Here is a 24,243-nt window from a genome sequence, read left to right on the forward strand (position 1 = left end):
AAGAGGCTGCCAGTTCTATGTCCAAGGTTTTCCCGGAGTTTTAGGGAGCGATAGACCAGCCTTTTTATTTTTGAGATGGAGTTTCGCTCTTGTTGCCCAGGCTGGAGTGCACTGGCACAATCTCAGCTCACCGCTACTTCTGCCTCCGGAGTTCAAGCGATTCTCCCGCCTCAGCCTCCCAAATAGCTGGGATTACAGGCGTGCAGCACCACGCCCAGCTAATATTTGTATTTTTAGTAGAGACCGGGTTTCACCATGTTGGTCAGGGTGGTCTCGAACTCCTGAGCTCGTGATCCGCCCGCCTCAGCCTCCCAAAGTGCTGAGATTACAGGCGTGAGCCACAGCGCCTGGCCCTAATTTTGTATTTTTGGTAAAGATGGGGTTTTACCATGTTAGCCAGGCTGCTCTTGAACTCCTGATTTTAAGTCATCCTCCTCCCTCGGCCTCCCAACGTGCTGGGATTACAGGTGTAAGTCACCACACCTGGCCCAATTCAGTGATTTGTAGTCAGTTTGTAGAGTTATGTAGCTGTCAGTACAATTCCGTTTTAGAATATTTCCATCATCCCTAAAAGATTGCTCAAGAGGCTGGGCACAGACCGCATCTCTACAAAAAATACAAAAATCAGCCAGGCGTGGTGGCATGCAGCTGTGGTCCCAGCTACTTGGGAGGCTGAGGTAGGAGTATCATTTACACCTGGAAGGTTGAGGCTGCAGTGAGCTGTGATCGTGCCACTGCACTCCAGCCTGGGTGACAGAGAGAGACCCTGTCTCAAAAAGAGAAAATTCCTCATTATCTTTGCCATCACTCCCTGTTCCCTCCTCTCCTAGCCCTGGGCAACCTAGTCTCCTGTCTCCAAAGATTAGTCTTTTTATTTTTTTAGACAGAGTTTTGCTCTTGTTGCCCAGGCTGGAGTGCAATGGCACAATCTCCGCTCATCTCAACCGCCACCTCCCAGGTTCAAGTGATTCTCCTGCCCCAGCCTCCCGAGTAGCTGGGATTGCAGGCATGCACCACCACGCCCAGCTAATTTTGTATTTTTAGTACAGATGGGGTTTCTCCGTGTTGGTCAGGCTGGTCTCAAACTCCCGACCTCAGATGATCTGCCCGCTTAAGTCTCCAAAAAGGGCTGGGATTACCGGCGTGAGCCACCGCGCCCGGCCTCTAGACATTTCTTAGAAGTGAAATCATACAGTATGTAAGTGAAGGAGTGTGACTTCCTTAACTTAGCGTGATGTTTTGCCGTTCGTTTGTGTCGTGGTCTGTCTGTGTCTTTCCGTTGCTGAGCAGTGCTCCTGGGAGGGTTGGCTGACGATCACCTGGATGGCTCTCAGTTGAGACTCTTATGAATAATTCTGCCGTGAACATTCACGTGCAGATCTTCGTGTGGATATGTTTTCATTTCTCTTGGGTAGATTGCTAGGAGTGGAATTGCTGAACCCTATGGTAAGTTTATGTTTAACTTTCTGAGGAGCTGACAAGCTGTTTTCTAAAGCGACTGCACCATTTGACTATTTTCCATTCCTACTACAATGCTGAGGAGGCCTTTAGTTTCTTGTTATTGTCTGTCTTCTTATTACACTCATGCTAGTGGGTGTGAATTAGAATCTCCCAGTGACTGAAAATGTTGGGTCCCTCTTTTCGTGTGAGTTTTAGCCATTCTTGCATCTTCTTTGGTGAATGTCTATTCTTGCATCTTCTTTGGTGAATGTCTATTCTTGCAGTCTTTTGCCCATTTTTAGAAATTAAAAATAATTTATTTTTATTTATTTATTTATTTATTTTTTGAGATGGAGTTTTGCTCTTCTACCCCAGGCTGGAGTGCAATGGCGCAATCTCGGCTCACTGCAACCTCTGCCTCCCAGGTTCAAGCGATTCTCCTGCCTCAGCCTCCCAAGTAGTAGCTGGGATTACAGGCACAGGCTACCATGCCTGGCTAATTTTTTTTTTTTTTTTTTTGAGACAGAGTTTCGCTCTTGTTTCCCAGGCTGGAGTGCAATGGCCTGATCTCAGCTCACCGTAATCGCCACCTCCCAGATTCAAGTGATTCTCCTGCCTCAGCCTCCCGAGTAGCTGAAACTACAGGCATGTGCCACCACACCCGGCTAATTTTGTATTTTTAGTAGAAACGGGGTTTCTCCATGTTGGTCAGGCTGGTCTTGAATTCCCGACCTTAGGTGATTGGCCTGCCTCAGCATCCCAAAGTGCTGGGATTACAGGCACGTGCCACCACGCTTGGCCGTAACTTTTGTATTTTTAGTAGATGCGAGGTTTCACCATGTTGGCCAGGCTGATCTCAAACTCCTGACCTCAAGTGATCCGCCTGCCTTGGCTTCCCAAAGTGCTAGGACTACCGGTGTGAACCACCACGCCCAGCCTTTCCACTCTCTTGATAGTGTCCTTCGATGCATAAAAGCTTTTAGTTTCAATGAAGTCTTTTTTTTTTTTTTTTTTTTTTTTTTGGAGACAGTCTTGCTCTGTCATCCAGGCTGGAGAGTGCAGTGGCGCGATCTCGGCTCACTGCAACCTCCACCTCCCGGGTTCAAGCGATTCTCCTGCCTCAGCCTCCCAAGTAGCTGGGATTACAGGTGCCCGCCTCCATGCCTGGCTAATGTATGTATTTTTAGTAGAGACGGGGTTTCACCATATTGGCCAGGCTGGTCTCAAACTCTTGACCTCAGGTGATCCACCCGCCTCGGCCTCCCATAGTGCTGGGATTACAGGCGTGAGCCACCGCACTCAGCCTCCTGTGCTTTTGTATCAAAGAAACCATCACCAGATCCCTTGTCATGAAGATTTTTCCCGTTTTTTTTTTCTAAGAGTTTTATAATTTTAGCTCTTACGTTTAGGTCTTTGATTCATTTTGAGTTCATTTTTGTGCATGACGTAAAGATTCAACTTCATGCTGGGCGCAGTGGCTCACACCTGTAATTCCAGCAGTTTCAGAGGCTGAGACAGGAGGATCACTTGAGGCCTCGAGTTCAAGGCCAGCCTGGGCAACGTAGCCAGACCCTGTCTCTAAAATAAGGGGGACGGGGTTCAACTTTATTCTTTTTTTTTTGTTTGTTTGTTTTTGAGATCGAGTCTCGCTCTGTCGCCCAGGCTGGAGTGCGGTGGCTCAATCTCAACTGACTGCAGCCTCCACCTCCTGGGTTCAGGCGATTCTCCTGCCTTAGCCTCCCGAGTAGCTGGAACTATAGGCGCCCGCCACCACGCCCGGCTAATTTCTGTATTTTTAGTAGAGAAGGTTTCACCGTATTAGCCAGGCTTGTCTCGGACTCCTGACCTTGTGATCCACCCGCCTCGGCCTCCTAAAGTGCTAGGATTACAGGCGTGAGCCACCTCACCCGGCCTATTTTTTTTTTTTTTTTTTATTGATCATTCTTGGGTGTTTCTCGCAGAGGGGGATTTGGCAGGGTCATACGACAATAGTGGACGGAAGGTCAGCAGATAAACAAGTGAACAAAGGTCTCTGGTTTTCCTAGGCAGAGGTCCCTGCGGCCTTCCGCAGTGTTTGCGTCCCTGGGTACTTGAGATTAGGGAGTGGTGATGACTCTTAACGAGCATGCTGCCTTCAAGCATCTGTTTAACAAAGCACATCTTGCACCGCCCTTAATCCATTCAACCCTGAGTGGACACAGCACATGTTTCAGAGAGCACAGGGTTGGGGGTAAGGTCACCGATCAACAGGATCCCAAGGCAGAAGAAGTTTTCTTAGTACAGAACAAAATGAAAAGTCTCCCATGTCTACTTCTTTCTACACAGACACAGCAACCATCCGATTTCTCAATCTTTTCCCCACCTTTCTCCCCTTTCTATTCCACAAAACCGCCATTGTCATCATGGCCCGTTCTCAATGAGCTGTTGGGTACACCTCCCAGACGGGGTGGTAGCCGGGCAGAGGGGCTCCTCACTTCCCAGTAGGGGTGGCCGGGCAGAGGCGCCCCTCACCTCCCGGAGGGGGCAGCTGGGCCCGGCCTATTTTTTTGTTTTTGTTTTTTGAGATGGACTCCAGCTCTGTCGGCCAGGCTGGAGTGCAGTGGTGCAATCTCGCTCACTGCAACCTCTGCCTCCTGGGTTCAAACGATTCTTGTGCCTCAGCCTCCCGAGTAGCTGGGACTACAGGCACGTGCTACTACACCCAGCTAATTTTTTGTATTTTTAGTAGAGACAGGGTTTCACACGTTGGCCAAGATGGTCTCAATCTCTTGACCTCGTTATCTGCCCTCCTCGGCCTCCCAAAGTGCTGGGATTACAGGCGTGAGGCACCTTGCCCGGCCAACTTCACTCTTTTGGTGTTTGATTTTAGGGCATAAAGTTTATCACTTGAGTCCTTGAATGAAAGGAAGTGTAAACCCTGACGAGTATGGAGTGTGGACTGTCTAGATGCCCCCTGGTCTAGGGAGGGATTTATCCCTGAACAGAAGGTGCCAGAACATCCAATTCTTAATGCCCAGATGTCCTGCTTGTTCCTTTCTGAAGGTTAACACTAGGCATTGTTGCCCACCCCCTGGTTTTCACGAAGGAAATTACTCATCCTAGTGAGGAAGAAGCCACCGTCCTCGTTGGGTGCCCTCACAGTGGCAGGTTCCATGTAGCAGAGAAGTAGGTCGTGCTGGACCTGATCGTTCCTGGAAACCAGGCATGGCCCGCGGAGTATAGTCTGTGGTTTTCTCTTTCAGTTATCTATGACTTTCTGGCTGTGGATGATATAAACGGGGACAGGATCCAAGATGTTCTTTTTCTTTATAAAAACACCAACAGCAGCAACAATTTCAGCCGATCCTGTGTGGACGAAGGTAATTTCATTTTATATGAAAAAGGCGGAGCTCCCTGTAGAAAGAGGAATCGTCATTTTGGGTCACCCTCTCGCTTTCAGTGTTTGGGGGAAGCAGATGGTGGTGTTTCTGGAACCCATCTCGTCATCCTTCCTGGCAGACCAGAAAGAGGCCTGGAAGCCCAGTCCCAGCACTGCCCTGGCCCCTGAGCCCCGTGGGGTCAGCATTAGAGCCCCGGGAGCCTGCAAGATACAGGAGATCCACCTGGCGGGAGGGGCTGTGGCCTAGGAGAGGTGTGAGGAAAACAGACCTGGAACAGCACATGCTGGGGCTGGCCGGCCTGCCTGCCCAGATGGTGCAACAGTGAGGTGCCGGTGTCTCTCCCTACAGGCTTTTCCTCTCCCTGCACCTTTGCAGCTGCTGTGTCGGGGGCCAACGGCAGCACGCTCTGGGAGAGACCTGTGGCCCAAGACGTGGCCCTCGTGGAGTGTGCTGTGCCCCAGCCAAGAGGCAGTGAGGCACCTTCTGCCTGCATCCTGGTGGGCAGACCCAGTTCTTTCATTGCAGTCAACTTGTTCACAGGTAGGCCAGCCAGGCAGCGGGGTTCTCACTGAGGGCCTCTCACCTGAGCCACCTCACCCTGAGGGCTAATGCCAGGAGGCCGCGACGAGGCTCAGCCCTGTGATCTTGAGGGTGGCTGGATGGGAAGGAAGGTTATGGGGAGAACCTCCAAGTGAGGCTGCAAGCGTGTGGAAGGCACACGCCTCGGCTGCCTTCAGCTGCACTGTGTCTGTTACCTCCCGTTACACCTTGCTGGTGGGCTGTAACACACAGGGGCAGTCCGATGTCACCTGCCATGGGGTAGCAGAGAGGAGGAGCGGCTTGGCCCCCGGCTGCTCCTGGGGTGTCAGTGGTGGCAGTGCCCAGGGCGAGCCCAGAACATGAACCAGCACTCGGCCCGTCAGGGGAGATCGGGGCCTGTCAGTGCCCCTAAGCCTGAAGGTGCAGGTCTCCGAGCCCCAGCGGAGCCGGCCTCGTGGAAGGACGAGGGAAAGAATGCGTGGTGCACGGGGCCATGTGTGTGTGTGGGCTCCTTGCACCTCATCGCGGTCTGGAAGATTTCTGTGCCTAGATTTGGTGAATGTTCATATTTCCCTTACAAGCTGTCATTTTAAGGATATGGAGGAGAATAAAGAGCAGGCTGAAAATATTTTAAGAATCAAGGAATCTGTCTTTAAAAAAAGGTTTGGATGAGATTGTATGTGCGTAAGGAGTTGGACGAGGACCTGTGGTCAGTAGATCTGCCTCCGGGCGCACACCTCCATTCTTGCCTTCTATGTGGAGGGCAGATGAAGGGGCCACTCAGCTGGGGCCTGCATGGCACCAAGGGCACGCCTGCAACCCCAGCAGGAGGCAGGGGCTTCGAGAGGTGGGTGAGGTCAGGCTTCATCCACTCGGGCAGGAGGGTCAGCATGGGCCCTAGAGGTTCCAGGACACGCAGATAGGAGAAAAGGAAGGGGGAACTCTGCGGTTCCCAGGAATGAGGCTGTCAGCGTTTGGCATATTGCCACCGAGTCTCCATACACGGGCAGGACGTGTGTCCACCACCTCCGCGTGCTGCTCCTTCACGAGCACAGGAGTGCCGCCCTCCCCTCCTGTTGGCATCTGCTCTGAGTGTGCAGTGAGCCGTGGGCTCACGAGGGTGATGCCTCAACAGGAGCCTGCCTGTCACAGGCCTTGCAGTTGCCGGGCTGCTGTTGAAGGGGACTCAGGGCCACGTTCCGTGACCGTGTGCTTGATTCTAGGGGAAACCCTGTGGAACCACAGCAGCAGCTTCAGCGGGAATGCGTCCATCCTGAGCCCTCTGCTGCAGGTGCCTGATGTGGACGGCGATGGGGCCCCAGACCTGCTGGTTCTCACCCAGGAGCGGGAGGAGGTACATCCCAGCCTGGCTCTGCTCCCAAGTCACGAGGCCACCTGCCACACGGCCCTGCTCTACCTCCCCATCTGCTGCCACTTCCCAGACAGGATTCGGGTCTGACCACTTGCCGGGGACTCGCCCAGAGCCCCACGTTCCCAACTCCCATAGACCCAGCATACTCAGGGGGCTCCATCTCTACCAGGCAGCTTTGGGGCCTCCCCAAGAATGGTGGAGTACACACTTCCCATTTGTGCTGTTGCAGTGTTGGGGGTGAAGCTCTGAGGGCTGGGAGCACCTGTGAGGCACTGGGGCTGCCCTGCCTGCCTCATGTGCCCCGTGCAGTGTGGAGGCACCAACCATCGTGGCAGACTCTCTGATGTCAGCGTGTCTTTCCTCAAAACCAAGAGCCTGTGGGCCCCTTACCCTTCCACATCTCCCATTGTAGAGTGCCCCGCCCCCAGGCTCACGTCCCTCTCTTCCTGGGCCTTGTGTCATTGCAGCCCCAGGCTCAGGTCCTTCTCTTCCTGGGCCTTGTGTCCTTGCAGCCCCAGGCTCAGGTCCCTCTCTTCCTGTGTCATCCTGTGTCATTGCAGGTTAGTGGCCACCTCTACTCCGGCAGCACCGGGCACCAGATTGGCCTCAGAGGCAGCCTTGGTGTGGACGGGGAAAGTGGCTTCCTCCTTCACGTCACCAGGACAGGTGCCCACTACATCCTCTTTCCCTGCGGTACGTTGTTTCTGCCACATCCCTGGCCAGCCTCACTCGTGGAGCATGACTGCCCTGCGGCTCCTCAGGTCCTGCTTCTGCTCTCGAGGTGCTGGAGTCAGGAAGCCCAGGGGCCTGGCTCCATGTGGCACTGCGTGCCCCTGGTCCGGGTTCACAGCGTGACCCTGGTGACCTCGGGCCCTTCTGTGTTTTGAATAGCAAGCTCCCTCTGCGGCTGCTCTGTGAAGGGTCTCTACGAGAAGGTGACCGGGAGCGGCGGCCCGTTCAAGAGTGACCCGCACTGGGAGAGCATGCTCAATGCCACCACCCGCAGGATGCTTTCCCACAGGTGGGTCCGGGCCGCAGCCTTTCTCCATGCAGAGCGCCCACCCCATGGCTCTGCTCGCCTGCCTCAGCGTTCGGACAATCTGTGTGGAGCCCAGAGCAGCCCCACCGGCAGGGAGGTGCTCGGGGTACCGCAAGGTCACCCTGGGCTCAGATGTGAGAAATGGTCAAATAAAAGTTGAGTAAAGAGAAGAAAGGTTCCCGACGCTGTGCCTGTCTGTCTCCACGGAAAGTGGGGGTCTTTCTTCTCTTTTCTGTTTTTTTTTTTTTTGGTTGTTTTTTTTTTTTAAGACGGAGTCTTGCCCTGTCCCCCAGGCTGGAGTGCAGTGGTGCGATCTCGGTTCACTGCAACCTCCGCCTCCCGGGTTCAAGTGATTCTCCTGCCCCAGCCTCCCGAGTAGCTGGGATTACAGGCGCGCACCTCCACGCCCAGCTAATTTTTGCATTTTTAGTAGAGACGGGGTTTCTCCATGTTGGTCAGACTGGTCTCGAACTTCTGACCTCGTGATCCGCCCGCCTCGGCCTCCCAAAGTGCTGGAATTACAGGCATGAGCCACCGCGCCCAGCTCTTCTCTTTTCAAGCTGTAGAACTGAGAAACGGGTTATGGGGGCCTAAGAGGAGCACCCTGAGACGGGCGGTGCCAGAGCCTCCACTGGGTGCCTGAGGCCGCCCCGGGGACCCGGCGCCCCTTTCTCCCACTCTCCTGTCTAGCTCTGGAGCAGTGCGCTACCTGATGCATGTCCCAGGGAACGCCGGTGCAGATGTGCTTCTTGTGGGCTCAGAGGCCTTCGTGCTGCTGGACGGGCAGGAGCTGACGCCTCGCTGGACACCCAAGGCAGCCCATGTCCTGAGGTACAGGGTTTCCCCAAGGACCGCGCAGGTGCTGCACCCCTTCCCGGCATCCCGGGCACATCCCGTTGGCTGGCGAGGAGACAGCGCTGGGGGTGGGGCCGGAGGCCGTGTGCTGCTGCCCGGGCTTCTTGCCTGTCTCTGGTACTTGCCCCTTGCCCCAGACGTCGGCTCCGTGTCCTGGGCCCTGGTCCAGATGTGGCCATGGGAGACTGAGGGGCGGACGTGTTCCTGGGTGCTTCCTTCATCTCAGTCTCCTCACTGAGACCCCTCGTGAGCGCTTCCTCCATATTGTTCCAGAAAACCCATCTTCGGCCGCTACAAACCAGACACCTTGGCTGTAGCCGTTGAAAACGGAACTGGCACCGACAGACAGGTTCGTTGTTCTTCCTTCGGAGGTGGCACCTTTGTTCTTAGCTGAGGATAGACTGGTCTGAAAGCAGACGGGGCTGCGGCCCAGGAGGCTGCTGCCGTCAGAGCTGCTGAGAAGGTTCTGCCTCCCTCAGAGCATCTGCCTCCAGGGCTGGCATGGCTGAGGGCACGTGTGCCTGTGCAAGCCTCGAGCTTTTCCCGGTAGCCCCCACGTTGGCCCCCACAGTGTCCCCTCCCTCCCCAGATCCTGTTTCTGGACCTTGGCACTGGAGCCGTCCTGTGTAGCCTAGCCCTCCCGAGCCTCCCTGGGGGTCCACTGTCCGCCAGCCTGCCGACCGCAGACCACCGCTCAGCCTTCTTCTTCTGGGGCCTCCACGAGCTGGGGAGCACCAGCGAGACGGTACGGGAGCCACCCTCGGAGCAGCCATGCTGGGAGCCGGGGCCAGAGACCCAGGCTGGAGCTCCACCGTGGAGTGCCCAGAAGCTCATCGGTGCCTGGGCAACCTCACATAAGTTGAAGTCCAGTGACAGTCAGGATGAGGTGGTGCAAGCTGAGGCAAAGTGACCTTAGAGGGGTCCAGCGAGAAGGGGCTGATGGCCTTCGGTGGATAGGGGCGCACACAGCCATGCCCTGAAGGGAGTGGCTGCCGGCAAGGACCAGTGTCAGGACCAGGTGGGGTGGGAGGACCTGGGAGGTGGCCACAGAACTGGGGGCTGGCATTTGGGGGACCCAGATAGGGCCCCTAGCAGACATAGAGCTCCAGGCACGGTCACTCTGACAGCAGTGTCCTGTGGGAGTGCTCAGTGAAGGGCGTGGGGCCCATTGCTGGTTCTCGCTCCAGGAGACCGGGGAGGCCCGGCACAGCCTGTACATGTTCCACCCCACCCTGCCGCGCGTGCTGCTGGAGCTGGCCAATGTCTCTACCCACATTGTCGCCTTTGACGGTGAGTGTGGCCTCGGCCAGGGACCCGGGTGTTCCGCGGGGTCTGCCCTGGCTGGTCCTGAGCCGCCCTGACAGCTGTGTCCCCCACCCTGCAGCCGTCCTGTTTGAGCCAAGCCGCCACGCCGCCTACATCCTTCTGACAGGCCCGGCAGACTCAGAGGCACCCGGCCTGGTCTCTGTGATCAAGCACAAGGTGCGGGACCTTGTCCCAAGCAGCAGGGTGGTCCGCCTGGGTGAGGGTGGGCCAGACAGTGACCAAGCCATCAGGGACCGGTTCTCCCGGCTGCGGTACCAGAGTGAGGCGTAGAGGCACGCCAGCCAGAGCCTGTGGAGAGACTCCGCCTGCTGACACTAAACGTCCTGGGAAGTGGGCCCTTCCCTGGGTCTCTGCACTGACTCCCCCACTCCTGACCCTGGTGATGGTCGCCACTGGGCAGCAGCAGCCTTACCAGTCCTCCATGATCACACCCAGGGACCTGCATGGGTGAGGGGACACCCTGGGCCTCTCTCCCGCCCAGCATCCTCCCTGAGTCCCCACACAGGGCCTCACTCTGCACCCCACCAGGGTCCCGCTCACACCAGGCAGCCTTCATAGTGGTCTCCCTGGCCACCTTGGGCAGAGCTGGGTCATGCAGCACCCCATCCTTACCCGGTGCCCTCTCCTTGCCAGCTTCTCCCCAGGCCAGAGCGGCCATCGCGTAGAAAGAACCAGGGTGTCCCCGGGACAGGCCGTCCCCCACCCCATCCTGTAGAAGTCCATTCCCCTTTTCCCTCCTGTGCTCTGTCCCCCAAGGAGTCATGGAACTCAGGGTACTGGGCCTCAACGGGAACCTGAGACAGCTCCAGCTTCGCAGCCCTTCCCGGAGCTACAGGGGGATCCTCTAGCATGGGGGGTGTGACTTGGTTCCTTTGACCAGGTCCTGTGAGGAAGCCTGGAGCAAGGGTCTCCCCCAGCAGGATGGGTGGGGCCTGCTCTGGAGCTGAGCCCGTGGCCGCTCACAGGTGTCCTTAGTGGTGTTGCAGCTGTCTACTGGCTGCATGTGCTGTGAATATCCCAAGGAACTGGCTGTGGAATGCGTGTTTGGGTCAGTCTGTGCCCTCTCAGTAGACACTGGAGCTGCTCTGTCCCTGAAGAGGCCCCGTGCCCCAGGCATGGCAAGCGCCTGCCTCTCCCCTTCCGGTGCTCACACGCCCACGCCGTGCCACCCGATGCAGGACTCACCTCTGTGCCTTGCTGCTCCTGAGGCCCAAGGGCAGCCATGGTGCTCTGTACTGCTCGGGCCGCCCAGGTCACAGAGCCTGAGCTTCGTAGCCAAAGCAGCCTGATGACCCACCCACCAAGGAAGAAAGCAGAATAAACATTTTTGCACTGCCTGAAAAACCCCGGTGGTCAGGCGTGAGCCTAGCGTGTGTGCGTCTGCCTGTCTGTCTGCTCCCTAAGTAGTCAAATGGATTTGTTCCTGGAGGAGTGACCAGGAATTTGCTGGCCAGCCTGGGTCAGGGTGGGGAGGGCTGCCGAGGAGGCGAGCACCCCCACCCAGACCTGCTCAGTCAGAAACTGGGCACCCAGCAATCTTGACATCCTCTGGGGGTCTCCGGTTTGAGGACCCCTGCCCACCAAGCTGGGCACCCTGGCCCCATGCAAGCGGGTGTGCTCCCACCTGGAACAGACGGTGGCCTCGGCACCGCGTGACGTCTGAGGGCTGGCTGGAGTCCAGCGTGAAGGGATGATGGTAGGGCCGGGGTGAGCTCTGGTGACCCTGCAGGCAAGAGGAGCCCAGGCAGGGGCTTCCCGGAGATGCAGCTTTGGGTGTGGCGGCAGTGAGGGGCAGGCAGGTGCTTTAGAGAGCCCTGCAGGACTGTCCCACGGCCATGTATGCAAGTGTGAAAAGCCCCGCTTCAGAGCCACACAGGTGTAACCTTGTTCCCATTGCTCCTTCCAAGGCGTGGTAGGGGGACGTGGGGGATGAGGTTGAACAGGTGGGTGCCCTCGTGCCAGGAAGCGGTTCTCTTGTCCCTGAGAAAAGTAACTCAGCCCAGAAGGCCTTGGGTATGAAAGGGCCATATAGGGCTCTGCGGACGCGTCCTATAAGTGAGAACCGCCAGGCGGGCAGGGTGGGGCTGGAGGGAGAAGGGAAGGTTCACTGGGGTTGCAAGAGCTGCCCCCTGACAGCACGGGAGGGAGGGCAGGGGGTCCCCAAAGGGAGGGGTCACCCTGCAGGTCAGAGGAGCAGCTGTGCCCCTGGCCATGGAGGGGTGGGCAGGGCCATGAGCCCCACCCTGAGAAGCCGGAGTTGAGGGGCTGGGCCAAGGGGTGCCATTGCTGGTGGGCAGAAGTTTCCCTCCCTGCAGGAACAGCCTGCACCCCCAGACTGTGAAGAAGGGATTCTTGCCCTGTGGTCACTGCGGGCCCTAGAGAGTCTGGGCCATGCCATGCCATGCCCTCTGCAGCTCTGTGGCCTTAGGGCAGGCTGGGGACAACTGCCCCTCCCCAGAGGCTTCCTTAACAGTTTCCTCACTGTTCCCCCTCTGGAGGGCAGGCGTCCCCACACACTACCCTGCTCACCCTAGCCCACCAGAGCACAGTGCCCTGGCTGTCTCCTCCCAAAGACCAGATGCCCCAAGTCTGCTGCCTGGGTCTGAGAGGGTCAAGTCCCTCCTCCACCATCGACTCCACACACCTGGGACCTGCCCCCTCCCTCACCACACACTGCACACATCACATGCACAATACATTCACACATATGTACTATACATGTGCACACCTCATACATGCAATGTGCACCACACATGCATCCTACACGACACGTGCACACACACCACACATGCATGCCTCACAGTACACCTGCACACGTGCACTACACACAATCACACGTGCTATGCGTACACACCACACGTGTGCCTCAGTGCTACACATGCCTCATACGACACGTGCACACACATATGCATGCCTCACAGTACACCTGCACACGTGCACTACACACAATCACACGTGCTATGCGTACACACCACACGTGTGCCTCAGTGCTACACATGCCTCATACACACAACACGTGCACACACCACACATGCCTCACAGTACACCACACGTGCACTACACACAATCACACATGCTATGCGTACACACCACACGTGTGCCTCAGTGCTACACATGCATCCTACACGACACATGCACATACCACACATGCATGCCTCACAGTACACCTGCACACGTGCACTACACACAATCACACATGCTATGCGTACACACCACACGTGTGCCTCAGTGCTACACATGCCTCATACACACGCACACACACCACATATGCATGCCTCACAGTACACCTGCACACGGGTGCTACACACAATCACACATGCTATGCGTACACACACTTGTGCCTCAGTGCTACACATGCCTCATACACACGACACGTGCACACACACACCACATATGCATGCCTCAGTACACCTGCACACGTGCACTACACACAATCACACACGCTATACATACACACCACACGTGTGCCTCAGTGCTACACATGCCTCATACGCACACACACCCATGCATGTGTCACATGCACCGTCACACCATAAGCTGCACCCACAGCAGGATGGGCTCAGAGCCAGGGCCCAAGGGTCTTTTATTTGTGTGCTGGACGCTGTTGGGAGTGACTGGATGTGAGCCAGCCCTATGGGTGGGGATGGCACCGCCCTACCGCCGAGAGAGTTGAAGCTGCACCCCCGAAAGGAGCCAGCTGTACCTTCACCCAGTCTGGGGGACTGGTGAGGCACTTGGGGGATGGGGAGCAAGGCCAGCTCACGAAGGAAGACTTGGGCAGGGAGGATCAGGGACGCCTGGCAAGGATCCACCCTATGGAATCGGGCCTCGTCAGTGGGGTGACAATGTCAGAGTTGTCTATAAATCGGGGGGGAGGCCGCGGCCTCGAGGTGGGAAAGCAGGTGCCGGCGCACCTGTGGACAAATTCTGGAACGCGTTTGGCGAGGGAGGAATAGGCGCAGCTCCGGAAGGCAGTGACCTCGAGGCAGCCTCAGCACGGCACTCTCTTGGGTCCTCTTCCAGGCTCACACTGGGCGACAGCGGAGAGGCTCTTGGACGGGGCAGAGCTCGCGCCGAGACCTGCATGTCCGCGTCTTGTGACGGGTGTGTGGGAAGCCGCCCGCCTGTGCATCTTGCTTCCGGGTATTCGCTGGCTGATTTACTGGTTTTAGAGATGGGGATGGGCACCCAGTGCTGGACTGAAGACCAGAGAAGGTGGAGCTCCCTGTGGCCTTGGTCTCACCTCTCTTCAGGTAACAGGCTCTGCCCTGACCCAAGCTGAGCCAATGAACCCCCTCCCTGGGAATCCACACCTGGACCCATTCCTTCTGGGCAGGGAGGGCTTGCTGGAGGGAGGGAGGCTGTGCACCCCACAGAAGACTGGGCCCCCTGGGCACAAGGGGACACTGGTGCTGGGTTCAGCAGCCCCCAGGACCTGGGCCAAGACGGGGGTGGCTGCTGCATTCACGCAGGACGTTGAGCTGCAGGGACTAGAGTGGCAGATGGGCCAGGTCCACTAGGCCACCCCATCTCCACCCCCAGGGCCACAAGCCGCTGTGGGCTCCACAGGGGTGGGAAGGAGTGCAGGGCTGGGGCTCGAGTGCCGTGGCCTCCACGTAAACGGGAACACGCTGTGGGCGAGAAGGCGGCTGAGAACAGGCTGGCCAGCTGGTGTCCTGCCCACCTCACTGCAGGGCCCCAGCAGCCCCCAGGCCACAGCCGCCGGCCACAGGGCACTGCCTGGGCTCACCGTCTCTTCATCTCCAGCGGGATCCCAGCCTCTGCCAGGAGGGCCTTGTACATGTCAGACTTCAGGAACCTTGGGTAGGAGTCCTACAAGAGACAGCGTCCAGCCCCTGACCCTTCTGCCTCCTCACCTCTCAGCCAGCTCCACCCGAAGGAGCAGCCAAACATTGCTGGAGCCTCCTCCAGCCACAGAGTCTCCGGCGGACAGGGTGCTGGAGGCAGCCGCCTCGGACCTGCCCAGACCAAGGCAGACGCAGGGAGACCTGGGCTCCCGTCTGCCTGGGCCATGTCGCAGCAAAAAATGGCAAGAGCCCTGGTGGCCACGTGTAGAGGAATAAACCGCGGCACCTCCTCAGCCATTAGCGGGAACCAGGAATGGCTCCGTGTGCCCCACAGAGTGAGGGCAGGGTTGTGGAGTCAAATAAAAAAACAAGGTAGGCCACGCATGGTGGCTCACGCCTGTGATCCCGGCCGGGCAGAGTGGCTCACGCCTGTAATCCCAGCACTTTGGGAGGCTGATGCGGGTGGATCATGAGGTTGGGAGATCGAGACCGTCCTGGGTAACACGGTGAAACCCCGTCTCTACTAAAAATACAAAAAATTAGCCGGGCGTGGTGGCGGGCGCCTGTAGTCCCAGCTACTCAGGAGGCTGAGGCAGGAGGATGGCGTGAACCCGGGAGGTGGAGCTTGCACTGAGCCGAGATCCCGCCACTGCACTCCAGCCTGGGCGACAGAGCGAGACTCGCCTCAAAACAAAAGAAAACAAAACTTTTTAGATCGAAGCTTGACCCTTATTAAGCATGTGATCTGGGCCAGTCCTTCAGCCTGTCTGAACCCGGAGTGGGCTCAGGACGGAACACTGACAGGAGAGCGGCCAGGGCGGCCCCAACCAGGTGGGGAAGGTGCTCCCCAGGGGCAGAGTCAACGTGGGCAGTGCCTGTGCGGACAGAGCCCTTGAGGGTGGGGACATGGAGGCCCGTCTGGGATGACCCCTCCTGCCCCTGCAGGCTGGCCCAGCACCCACCTTCTTCATGAGCATGTATATGTGCAGCTGGGCGTCATCCAGGACATAGCGGTGGGGCTGGCGCAGCCCCTCCAGGGTCTGCTCCATGGTCCGGCTGTCGATGTTGACCCAGTGGGCAGCTCCGGGGGCCAGGAACTGCCTAGGGGTGGGGACAGCACTGGGTAGTCTCGGCTGGGTGCACCTGCCCGTTGGCCAACCGGTGCCCACCACGCAGCACTTACTCGTACACGGCATCCACCAGGGTGGGGACCTGGGCCTGCGCTCCATATCGAAGCTCCTCACATGCCTCCCAGAAGCTGAGGTTTTCTCCTGGGGGGCCGGGCACCCAGTCAAGGATCCCATCGAGAGTGGCAGCCAGGGCCGGTGGGGGGTTCCCAGGGAGCTGGTGGAAACCGAGGCGGGAGGGGTCCCAGGCAGCAGCCTCCCCGCTGGGACTGGAGCAGGGGCTGGGGGGTTCTCACCACTGAACTCCTTTCCCAGAAAGTCCATGAAGTGGGCCCGCCCCACGGGGTCCTCCAGGAGCTCCCGGAAGCTGAAGCCCCATCTCTCCACACGGAGCTTCGTGGGGGCAGCCACCCTGGGGAGAGGGCAGGGCTGTTGGGGAGGGTGGGGACTGACCCTCCTGCGTCCCCCCAGGCTGGGAGCACACCCGCAGTCCCGCTGCCCCGCCTGGGCTCACGTGGGGGCATTCATGACCCAGTAGGCGTCATTGTCTGAGATCCAGGGATTGCTGGGCAGGCACCCCGACACGAGGGGATCGTGGGGTCCACGCTGGCCGCAGAAACTCAGGTACCTGGAAGGGGGTATGGGGGCTGGTGCAGGAGGGGCCTCAGCACTCAGCAGGGGTCTCCAGCTGCCACCCCTCACCCCACTCACGCCTCAAGGCAGACGGAGGACTTCACTCGGGTCCTGCCCAGCGCTTTCCTGAAGTACTCGATCTAGGATGTGGGGCCTGTGAGTCAGGTCCCGGGCTGGGGAAGGCACCTGGCACCCTCCACTCCCAGCTCCAGAACTTACCTCCCGCTTATGGAAATCTGCACTCTTGGTCTAGAAGGGGATAGGTGGGCTGCAGTTAGATGCAGGTCCCCTGCTGGGGTCCAAAATCCCCAGCAGGAGGGCACCTCCCCAGGCTGAGCCCCTGCCCCATAGATCTGGCAGAGATGGTGGCCCAGGCCCCCAGTCCCGCCCCTTGGAGCCCCTTCTTCCAATCAGGGATCTTTCGAGGAGACCTCTGGGGGCCTAAGGTCTGGCGATCTGTGGAATATTCCACGGAACCTCAGGTTCTCAAAGTTGCAACTGTAATATGTCATTTTTTTTTCTTTATTATTTTTTTGAGACAGTTTCACTCTTGTTTCCCAGGCTGGAGTGCAGTGGTGCGATCTCGGCTCACCGCAACCTCCGCCTCCTGGATTCAAGCTATTCTCCTGCCTCAGCCTCTCCAGTAGCTGGGACTACAGGCATGCGCCACCAAGCCCAGCTAATTTTGTATTTTTAATAGAGACGGGGTTTCTCCATGTTGATCTAGCTGGTCTCGAACTCCTGAACTCAGGTGATCTGCCCGCCTCAGCCTCCCAAAGTGCTGGGATTAGAGACGTGAGCCACCGCGCCCGGCCTAATATGTCACATTTTCAAATGTACTTAAATTATGTTTTTAAACAACACATACTTGAGAAATACTACTAATGGGGATCACTGGGGAACCAGGTGTGACCTTCATTGGTCGGCACCTCGCTGGGGCCAGAGCGGAGGAGGCGGACGCGCTGCGAGTCCTGGCCTGTGTCCCCGCTCTCTCTGACCAGCTTTGTATGGGGAAATGTTAGGGTCGTGAACTTAAGAAGTTTTATCAGTGAGGTTCTAGGTGCATCTTTCCAGATGTTGGGTCTGGATGGGACTGGTTTGAACAAAGGGTTTTGCTGCTGCGGGGCTCAGATGCTCCCTCTGGTCTGGTCCCTCTGGTTCTGGAGGCCTCCACCTGGAGGGAGGTTGCTGGATCTGCTGAGGTCTGTCAGAGGCCGTAACCCTGCTTGTCACCCCTCCAATTCCCAGCAAACCCTGATACTGTTCTGGAGAAGAGCCCCCTTCCTCCCCGCCAGCCCCCTCGTCCCCACCACTCCACTTACCTGCACCCAGGGCAGCAGGTGGGAGGGGAGAGAAAGCGAGAGTTAGCAGGGGCCTGGGGAACAGGGAGTGACCGGGAGTGAGCAGGGGCTTGGGGAGGCTGCACCAAGTGCCCTCTGGGTGGACCAAATGACGGACAGATGGGCAGTCCCATGGTGCGTCCAGCAGGGTGCAGCCGGTGTGCAGGGTGAGAGGGCGGCCAGCACGCACGCAGGGGCTCACCATGAGCACACGGCTGGCAGCGCAGGATCCCCGCCCTGGACCCTGCTCCAGCACATCGGGGGCCCCGGGCTGCGGAGGGGAGACGAGATGAGGTGGGGATGCAGTTCCGGTGGCTGACCCCCTTTAAGGCTAAGTTCCCCCTCCCAGACCCCCATGTGGAAACTGACACTCAAAGGAACTCGGGAAGAGTCCCGACCTAGCCGTCAGCTGTCTCTTCTCTGCTCACCACCTCCAAATGGCCTGTCCACCGGGCCTCCCCACAGCCCCAGCTGCTCCCGGCCTGTGAACTCGGTCCCCCCACTGCAGCCAAGGCCGCCCCCACTCTGCCTGCTCCCGAGGCAGAGTCTGCAGTCCCCGCAATCTGGCATCCCTGTGACTCTCCCTTGGGCCCAGAGAGAAGCTGGCTTGTCCTGTGGTCTAGGGATGGAGACCTGGGTTCTGATTGGCAGAAACGCAACTAAGTCACGAAGTGAAAACGTCCTGCCCCCACCAGGAGCTCCAAGGCAGGTCCTTCCACAGGCTCAAAATGGTGGTCCTGAGAGCGCCTGTCAGGGAAGCACGCTGACCCCTGCGCTGGCCAGCGACCCCCACCCTCACCGCAGGTGGGCTCACCGGGGGCCTGTTCACCAGCCAGTAGGTCTGCTCCTGGCACGCAATGACCAGCCTGTCCCCCTTGCTGCGCTGCTTGGCTGCCCTGGGAGGAGGAGGCCGAGTTGAGGGCACGCCCTGCACACAGCAGCCCCTCCGCCCCCACCCTCAGGCCTGGACCTGGGCAGGCAGCCACACCCAGGGGTGCCCTCCACGGTCCCAGGGCCACCGGAGCCTGGCCTGGGCTGGGCTTCCCGGGTAGCCTGGGTTGGGCGCCTGCAGGCGGGGCGGGGCAGGGCGGGGCCTCACCTCAGCTGCTCCCTCGCCTGCATCAGCACCAGGTCCCATGCGTGGTTGATCTTCTTGTGTAGCCGGTCATAGCAGTCCTGGGGGCAGCGAGGTTTCCAGTGGGTCACCCCGGCCCCTGCCCCCAGTGAGACTGTGTGGGCAGTTGGGGGGTTGGGGACTGTCTTGGGTTTTGGGGCCTGGGCTGTATGTTCTGGGGTAAACCGTGAAGCCCCGGGGGGCCGTGAGTGAGGCTTGGGTTCCTCCAGCTGTACCCAGCCGGGGCGGGAAGGGTGGGGGGTCCCACCTTCTCATAATCCACCAGGGTCCCCCGTTTTCGGATGTTCTTCTTGGCCAGGTAGATGGCTGGAAGAACAGGGACAGCCTGCAGAGGGGCCAGCTCTGCCCTGCCTCACGGCATCACCCTGAGGCCCCCAGTCCTGGGAACTTGTCTGGGGCCAGCCGTCCCCTTGCTCACCATAGTCCAGCTCTGCAGCCGGCCTCAGGGTACTTGTCCAGAAGTACGGGGTCTGGCGTGGTGCAGGGAGAAGGTGTCCAGGACGCCTGCGTCTGTGCCTCCCCAGTGTCACCCCACCCTCAGACCTCCCTGGGAAGAAGCCTGGGCTGGGCAGGAGGTGTCTGAGGATCTCCCTGCCTGCCCACCACCGAGAGACTCCACTGACCACTGGCCAGTCTCTCCAACTAGAACTGAGGTCAACTCGCTCCTTAGGGCCCTGTTCAGACACTGCCTCCCTCACTGGTCACCCTAAGCCCCCATTCAAGGCGGGGTGGGGCTGGGGGCCTGCACAAGTCTTGGATGTAGTCACAGTCTGTGCCTGGGGAGGGGTACAACCGACGGCAGGTCGGCCCGGGACCCTGATGTGGTTAGGGAGGGCAGGAATGCTGTCCTCAGGCCTTCACAGCCCCTCCCTCAGGACCTGGGCCTAGGGACCCCCAGGAAGATGGCAGAATCCTCTGCACATACGACCCCTTGTGGGGCCCTGCTGTGGTCCCCAGGAAAACTGAGGCTCCATCCCTCAGCCGGGTCCTTCTCACCACATCCGTACTTGCGGTCCAGGACTTTTGGGGAGGGGGCGATGGACCACCAGCCCACGGCGACATGGCGGAGTCCCACTCCAATCCCAGCAAGCTCGGCGCCCCTCCTGTCTCCCCGAGTTGGTAAGCTGGGTGGGTGGGGGTGGGGGTCCCACCGGCTCCCACCTGCACCCCCGAGCCTGACCTGGAACCTGTAGGGCGTCTCGTCTGGCCGGAGCATGAGGCTACGGGGGTCGCGCAGCGGGTAGATGTAGCCATGCTGCACCAGGACGGCGCCCAGGTGCAGGGCCTCTGGGGAGGGGTGGGACGGTGAGCGCGGGGCCGCGGAAGCGGGCGAGGGCGGGACGAGCCGGGCCTCCTCTCCCCTATGTGCTCCCCACCCTTGCACAGCGCGCTCAGCAGGGCTCTGAGAACTGCCAGACTCCAGGAAAACCCAGGCCTAGGCCACCAGCCCAGTGACCCCAGGGCCCAGTGGGAGGCAGGGCGCTCACCCTCCTCCGAGACGCAGAACTTCTGGGCCAACCACTGCACGACGTCGCTGCCTGCACGGGAGAGACAGAGGTGGAGGGAGGCCGAGGCGCGCACGCACCCCCGCCCCGGCGCGCCTCACCTGTCACCGCGTGGGGAATGACGGTGACCAGCAGGCGCTGGCTCCGCATCTTCACGCCCTGGTCGGGGTCCTGCATGCTCACGACCACCCGCTCCATCTGGGCGGAGGGAGTCGTCAGGGGGTGTCTGGCCGCCCCGCAACCCTGATTCCCTGGCACCGGCCGGGATGCCCCGGATCCGGGAGCGCGGAGATTAACGCGCGGCGGCGGCGGATTCCAGGCCGCAGCTGGCGGCGGGGACGCGGGGCGGGCCGGGGAGGGCCGGGGAGGGCCGGGGAGACCCCGGAGACCCCCAAGGGCCCCAGGCCTCGCCGCCCCTCCCGGCCTCGCAGACCTCCGCCCCAGGCCCGCCCCGCCCCGCGCGCCCCCGTGTCCCCATGCTCTCCGGCCCCTCCCGGCCTCGGGCGCCGGGAAATCGGGGGACGGCGGGACACCCACCCGCCTCGCACCTTCCTCAGATGCGGCATCTGCGCCCGGGGGCGGCCGGGGGGCGGCGCGGGGCCGGCGGCCATGGCTGCGGGGCGAGGCCGGCGGGGATGACCGACGTCCCGCCCGGCCCCGCCCCGCGCCGCGCCGCGCCCGGGTTAACCCTCGGGCCGCGAGGCCAGAGTCGCCCAGGCCCCGGTTCGGGTTTTAAGAGACACGGCCACGGCCCAGAGGCAAACGAGCCGGCCCCCCACGAGCGACCCGAGTCACCCCCCCGACCCAGGTCCCGGGACGCTGAGGCCCTCGTGGGTGAAGGCGAAGTGGGACGGGGGAGGGTGTGGGCCGGGGGCCGAGGGGGGATGTGAGGGGATGGAGCTCAGCTGGAGCAGGGGGTGGTCTCTGGGAGAGGCAGAGGGGCTCATCAGCGAGGGGGGGTTACTATGGGGAGGGTCTCAGGGAGGGCAGCGGAGGGGATGGGGGTTCAGAGAGGGAGAGGGGTTCCGTGAGTAGAGGAGACCCGTAGGGAGAGTGAACTGGGGTGGGAAACGTGGTTTAGGGCCCACTGTAACCCCGGTCCTATGTGTGGGGCCCTGAGGACATACAGGGACTAGAGGCCTGGCTGTGGGGCCGGGGCCAGGGCCAGCGGTATGACTGCCCGAGGCCTTGTGTCCTGCGATGCTTGTGGCCAAGACTGCATACATTGCTGTGACGGTGGCTGGTTAGGGGCAGGGTGCATGAGAGATTGGGTCAGCTTTCTACATGGGCCGGATGCCGGCTGTCAGTGGAGCACGTGGCTGCTGCAGAGTGTGACCCAGCTGTCCCCATCTCCTGCTGTGGGTCCCTTATCCGGGGTCCTTCCGGGAAAGTGGCTGATGGCTCATGGCTCACTTCCCTCAGCTCCACGCAGGCCTGGGTGGCCCGCTGGGGAATGAGCAGAAACCCTGCCCAGGGCACCCTGACACTGTTGGAGAGGAGCTTTACTGCAGGGAGGCCCTCAACACACACCCACTTAGTGTCACCGGCGGCCGCCAGGCTTCAGGCCCCACTCCACTCCCAGCTCTCTCCCTCCTCCAATGGCTATGCCTGTCCCCCAGGTGCACCCCGAGCCAGGCCCAGGATCTTCAGGCCCCACCGGGCAGTCTCGGCTCACTGCAACCTCCGCCTCCTGAATTCAAGCAATTCTCATGCCTCAGCCTCCTGAGTAGCTGGGATTACAGGCTCCCACCACCACGCCTGGCTAATTTTTATTTTTGTTTTTGTTTTTGAGACGGAGTCTCACTGTGTCACCCAAGCTGGAGTGCAGTGATGCGGTCTTGGCTCACTGCAGCCTCCGCCTCCTGGGTTCCAGCGATTCTCCTGTCTCAGCCTCCTAGGTAGCTGGGATTACAGGCACGCGCCACCACACCCAGCTAATTTTTGTATTTTTAGTAGAGATAGGGATTCACCACGTTGGCCAGGCTGGTTTCGAACTCCTGACCTCAGGTGATGTGCCTGCCTTGGCCTCCCAAAGTGCTAGGCTTATAGGTGTGAGCCACTGTGCCTGGCCGATTTTGGTATGTTTAGTAGAGATGGGGTTTCACCATGTTGGCCAGGCTGGTCTCAAACTCCTGACTTCAGGTGATCCACCTGCCTTGGCCTCCCAAAGTTCTGGGATGACAGGTGTGAGCCACCACACCCGGTCGGATCATTTTTTAAAAACTAAGTCGAGGTCTCACTATGTTGCCCAAGGTGGTCACAAACTCCTGGGCTCAGTCCATCCTCCTGCCTCAGCTTCCCAGCGTGCTGGGATTAAAGGCATGCCCAGCCAGCATCTTTTTTTTTTTTTTTTTTTTGAGACTGAGTCTTGCTCTGTCAGGCTGGAGTGCAATGGCGCAATCTCGTCTCACTGCAACCTCCTCCTCCCAGATTCAAGCAATTCTCCTGCCTCAGCCTCCTGAGTAGCTGAGATTACAGGCCCCCGCCACCACGCTTGGCTAATTTTTGTATTTTTAGTAGAGACAGCATTTCACCTTGTTGGCCAGGCTGGTCTTGAACTCCTGACCTTAGGCGATCTGCCCACCTCGGCCTCCCGAAGTGCTGGGATTACAGGCCTGAGCCACCGAGCCCAGCCTCAGCACCATTTTTAAAAGGTGCAAATGCATCTATTTCTGCTTGCTTTCTTTATTTTTTAAATTATTTATTTATTTATTTTGAGATGGAGTTTCACTCTTGTTGCCTAGGCTGGAGTGCAATGGTGCAATCTCGGGTCACTGCAACCTCCGCCTCCTGGGTTCAAGCGATTCTCTTGCCTCAGCTCCCAAGTAGGTGGGATCAGAGGCATGCGCCACCATGCCCGGCTAATTTTTTTTTTTGTTTTTTTTTTTGCATTTTTAGTAGAGATGGGGTTTCACCGTGTTGGCCAGGCTGGTATCAAACTTCCTGACCTCAAGTGATCCACCTGCCTTGGCCTCCCAAAGTGCTGGGATTACAGGCATGAGCCACCGCACCTGGCCACTAATTTTTTTTTTAATTTCATTTTTATTTTTGTAGATAAATATACACGTAGCCCCTCGCTTATCCCTGTCTGTAAGGGCCTCAGTTTCTTGCTGTGTTGCCTAGGCTGGCTGATCTTGAACTCCTGGCCTCAAGTGATCCTCCTGCCTCAGCCTCCCAAATGTTGGGATTACAGGCATGAGCCATGGCACCTGGCTATGTATTTATTTTTTGAGAGATGGCAGTCTCATTCTGTCACCCAGGCTGGAGTGCAGTGGTGCAATCATAAACTCATTGCAGCCTCAAACTCCTGAGCTCAAGTGATTCTCCCACCCCAGCGTCCTGAGTAGCTGGGACTACAGATGTGTACCACCGCATCTGGTCTATTTCTGCTTTCTTGGAGGCAGAGTACCTCTCCCCATCCTTACCCACTCAGAGGGTGCTAGGGGCTGGGCAGGGTGGGCGGTTGGCCTTGGGCTGGGAGCCCCTAACATAGTGGTCTGAGTCCATTTCCATTGCCGGAGAGGCCACGTTCAGCATGAGCTGGGGCAGGGGGCTTGTGGGGTCTCTTACTCCAGGGTACCATCTCGCTTGGATCCCAGTGAGCCCTCCCATGCCCCACACCCAGGTGGGGTGAGGTGGCCCAGGTCTGGCTGCCCTGTCTGCAGGGGTGGGCACCCATGGTAGCTGTGAGGCAGAATAGGGAATGAGGGTAGCCAAGGGTTGGGCATAAGAAACGGAACAGC

At 59.1% G+C, this 24,243-nt stretch overlaps 2 protein-coding genes across 40 annotated transcripts in view, besides 4 other annotated features; one reads left to right on the forward strand and one right to left on the reverse strand.

Moving 5' to 3' along the window:
* Positions 1-15,163, forward strand: part of FAM234A (family with sequence similarity 234 member A) — a 35,143-nt gene extending 19,980 nt beyond the window's left edge. For 13 of the 28 annotated variants that reach the window (XM_047434744.1, XM_047434745.1, XM_047434742.1 and 10 more), the window contains 10 exons: positions 4,683-4,799; positions 5,169-5,360; positions 6,584-6,714; positions 7,293-7,425; positions 7,624-7,753; positions 8,462-8,602; positions 8,900-8,975; positions 9,216-9,371; positions 9,814-9,916; positions 10,011-11,296. In XM_047434744.1, coding sequence (XP_047290700.1) covers positions 4,683-4,799; positions 5,169-5,360; positions 6,584-6,714; positions 7,293-7,425; positions 7,624-7,753; positions 8,462-8,602; positions 8,900-8,975; positions 9,216-9,371; positions 9,814-9,916; positions 10,011-10,222 — 1,391 coding nt within the window. In that variant the 3' untranslated portion in view covers positions 10,223-11,296. Of the gene's footprint in view, positions 1-4,682; positions 4,800-5,168; positions 5,361-6,583; positions 6,715-7,292; positions 7,426-7,623; positions 7,754-8,461; positions 8,603-8,899; positions 8,976-9,215; positions 9,372-9,813; positions 9,917-10,010; positions 11,297-13,975; positions 14,206-14,719 lie in introns of those variants that run through there. The other 15 variants (XM_047434749.1, XM_047434750.1, XM_047434755.1 and 12 more) reach the window with 4 other exon arrangements.
* Positions 2,632-3,591: an enhancer, noted in NCBI's record as "NANOG-H3K27ac hESC enhancer chr16:307431-308390 (GRCh37/hg19 assembly coordinates)". NCBI's record gives its function as "activates a minimal SCP1, AML or CMV promoter by ChIP-STARR-seq in naive H9 embryonic stem cells {active_cell/tissue: H9 hESC(naive)}" and the evidence as "EXISTENCE:reporter gene assay evidence [ECO:0000049][PMID:30033119]".
* Positions 13,507-21,144, reverse strand: RGS11 (regulator of G protein signaling 11). 12 transcript variants are annotated; one of them, XM_011522719.3, is made up of 18 exons: positions 21,049-21,144; positions 20,602-20,698; positions 20,483-20,533; positions 20,176-20,282; positions 20,003-20,098; positions 19,414-19,465; positions 19,243-19,301; positions 18,960-19,036; positions 18,675-18,756; positions 18,063-18,131; positions 16,740-16,769; positions 16,599-16,660; positions 16,402-16,515; positions 16,184-16,299; positions 15,944-16,031; positions 15,723-15,861; positions 14,703-14,785; positions 13,507-14,583 (listed from the first exon to the last, which is right to left on the reverse strand). In XM_011522719.3, exons 1-18 carry the CDS (start codon positions 21,109-21,111, stop codon positions 14,469-14,471), a joined length of 1,500 nt encoding a protein of 499 aa, XP_011521021.1. In that variant the 5' UTR covers positions 21,112-21,144; the 3' UTR covers positions 13,507-14,468. The 12 variants fall into 12 exon arrangements, with proteins under 12 accessions (XP_011521021.1, XP_011521022.1, NP_899180.1 ...); XM_011522720.3 differs by having other exon boundaries at positions 21,038-21,144; NM_183337.3 differs by lacking the exon at positions 20,003-20,098.
* Positions 18,148-18,684: an enhancer, noted in NCBI's record as "H3K27ac-H3K4me1 hESC enhancer chr16:322947-323484 (GRCh37/hg19 assembly coordinates)". NCBI's record gives its function as "activates a minimal SCP1, AML or CMV promoter by ChIP-STARR-seq in primed H9 embryonic stem cells {active_cell/tissue: H9 hESC(primed)}" and the evidence as "EXISTENCE:reporter gene assay evidence [ECO:0000049][PMID:30033119]".
* Positions 18,685-19,221: an enhancer, noted in NCBI's record as "H3K27ac-H3K4me1 hESC enhancer chr16:323485-324021 (GRCh37/hg19 assembly coordinates)". NCBI's record gives its function as "activates a minimal SCP1, AML or CMV promoter by ChIP-STARR-seq in primed H9 embryonic stem cells {active_cell/tissue: H9 hESC(primed)}" and the evidence as "EXISTENCE:reporter gene assay evidence [ECO:0000049][PMID:30033119]".
* Positions 20,409-21,060: an enhancer, noted in NCBI's record as "H3K4me1 hESC enhancer chr16:325209-325860 (GRCh37/hg19 assembly coordinates)". NCBI's record gives its function as "activates a minimal SCP1, AML or CMV promoter by ChIP-STARR-seq in naive H9 embryonic stem cells {active_cell/tissue: H9 hESC(naive)}" and the evidence as "EXISTENCE:reporter gene assay evidence [ECO:0000049][PMID:30033119]".

The sequence above is a fragment of the Homo sapiens genome, chromosome 16 (genome assembly GCF_000001405.40).
Source record: "Homo sapiens chromosome 16, GRCh38.p14 Primary Assembly".
Lineage (NCBI taxonomy): Eukaryota > Metazoa > Chordata > Mammalia > Primates > Hominidae > Homo > Homo sapiens.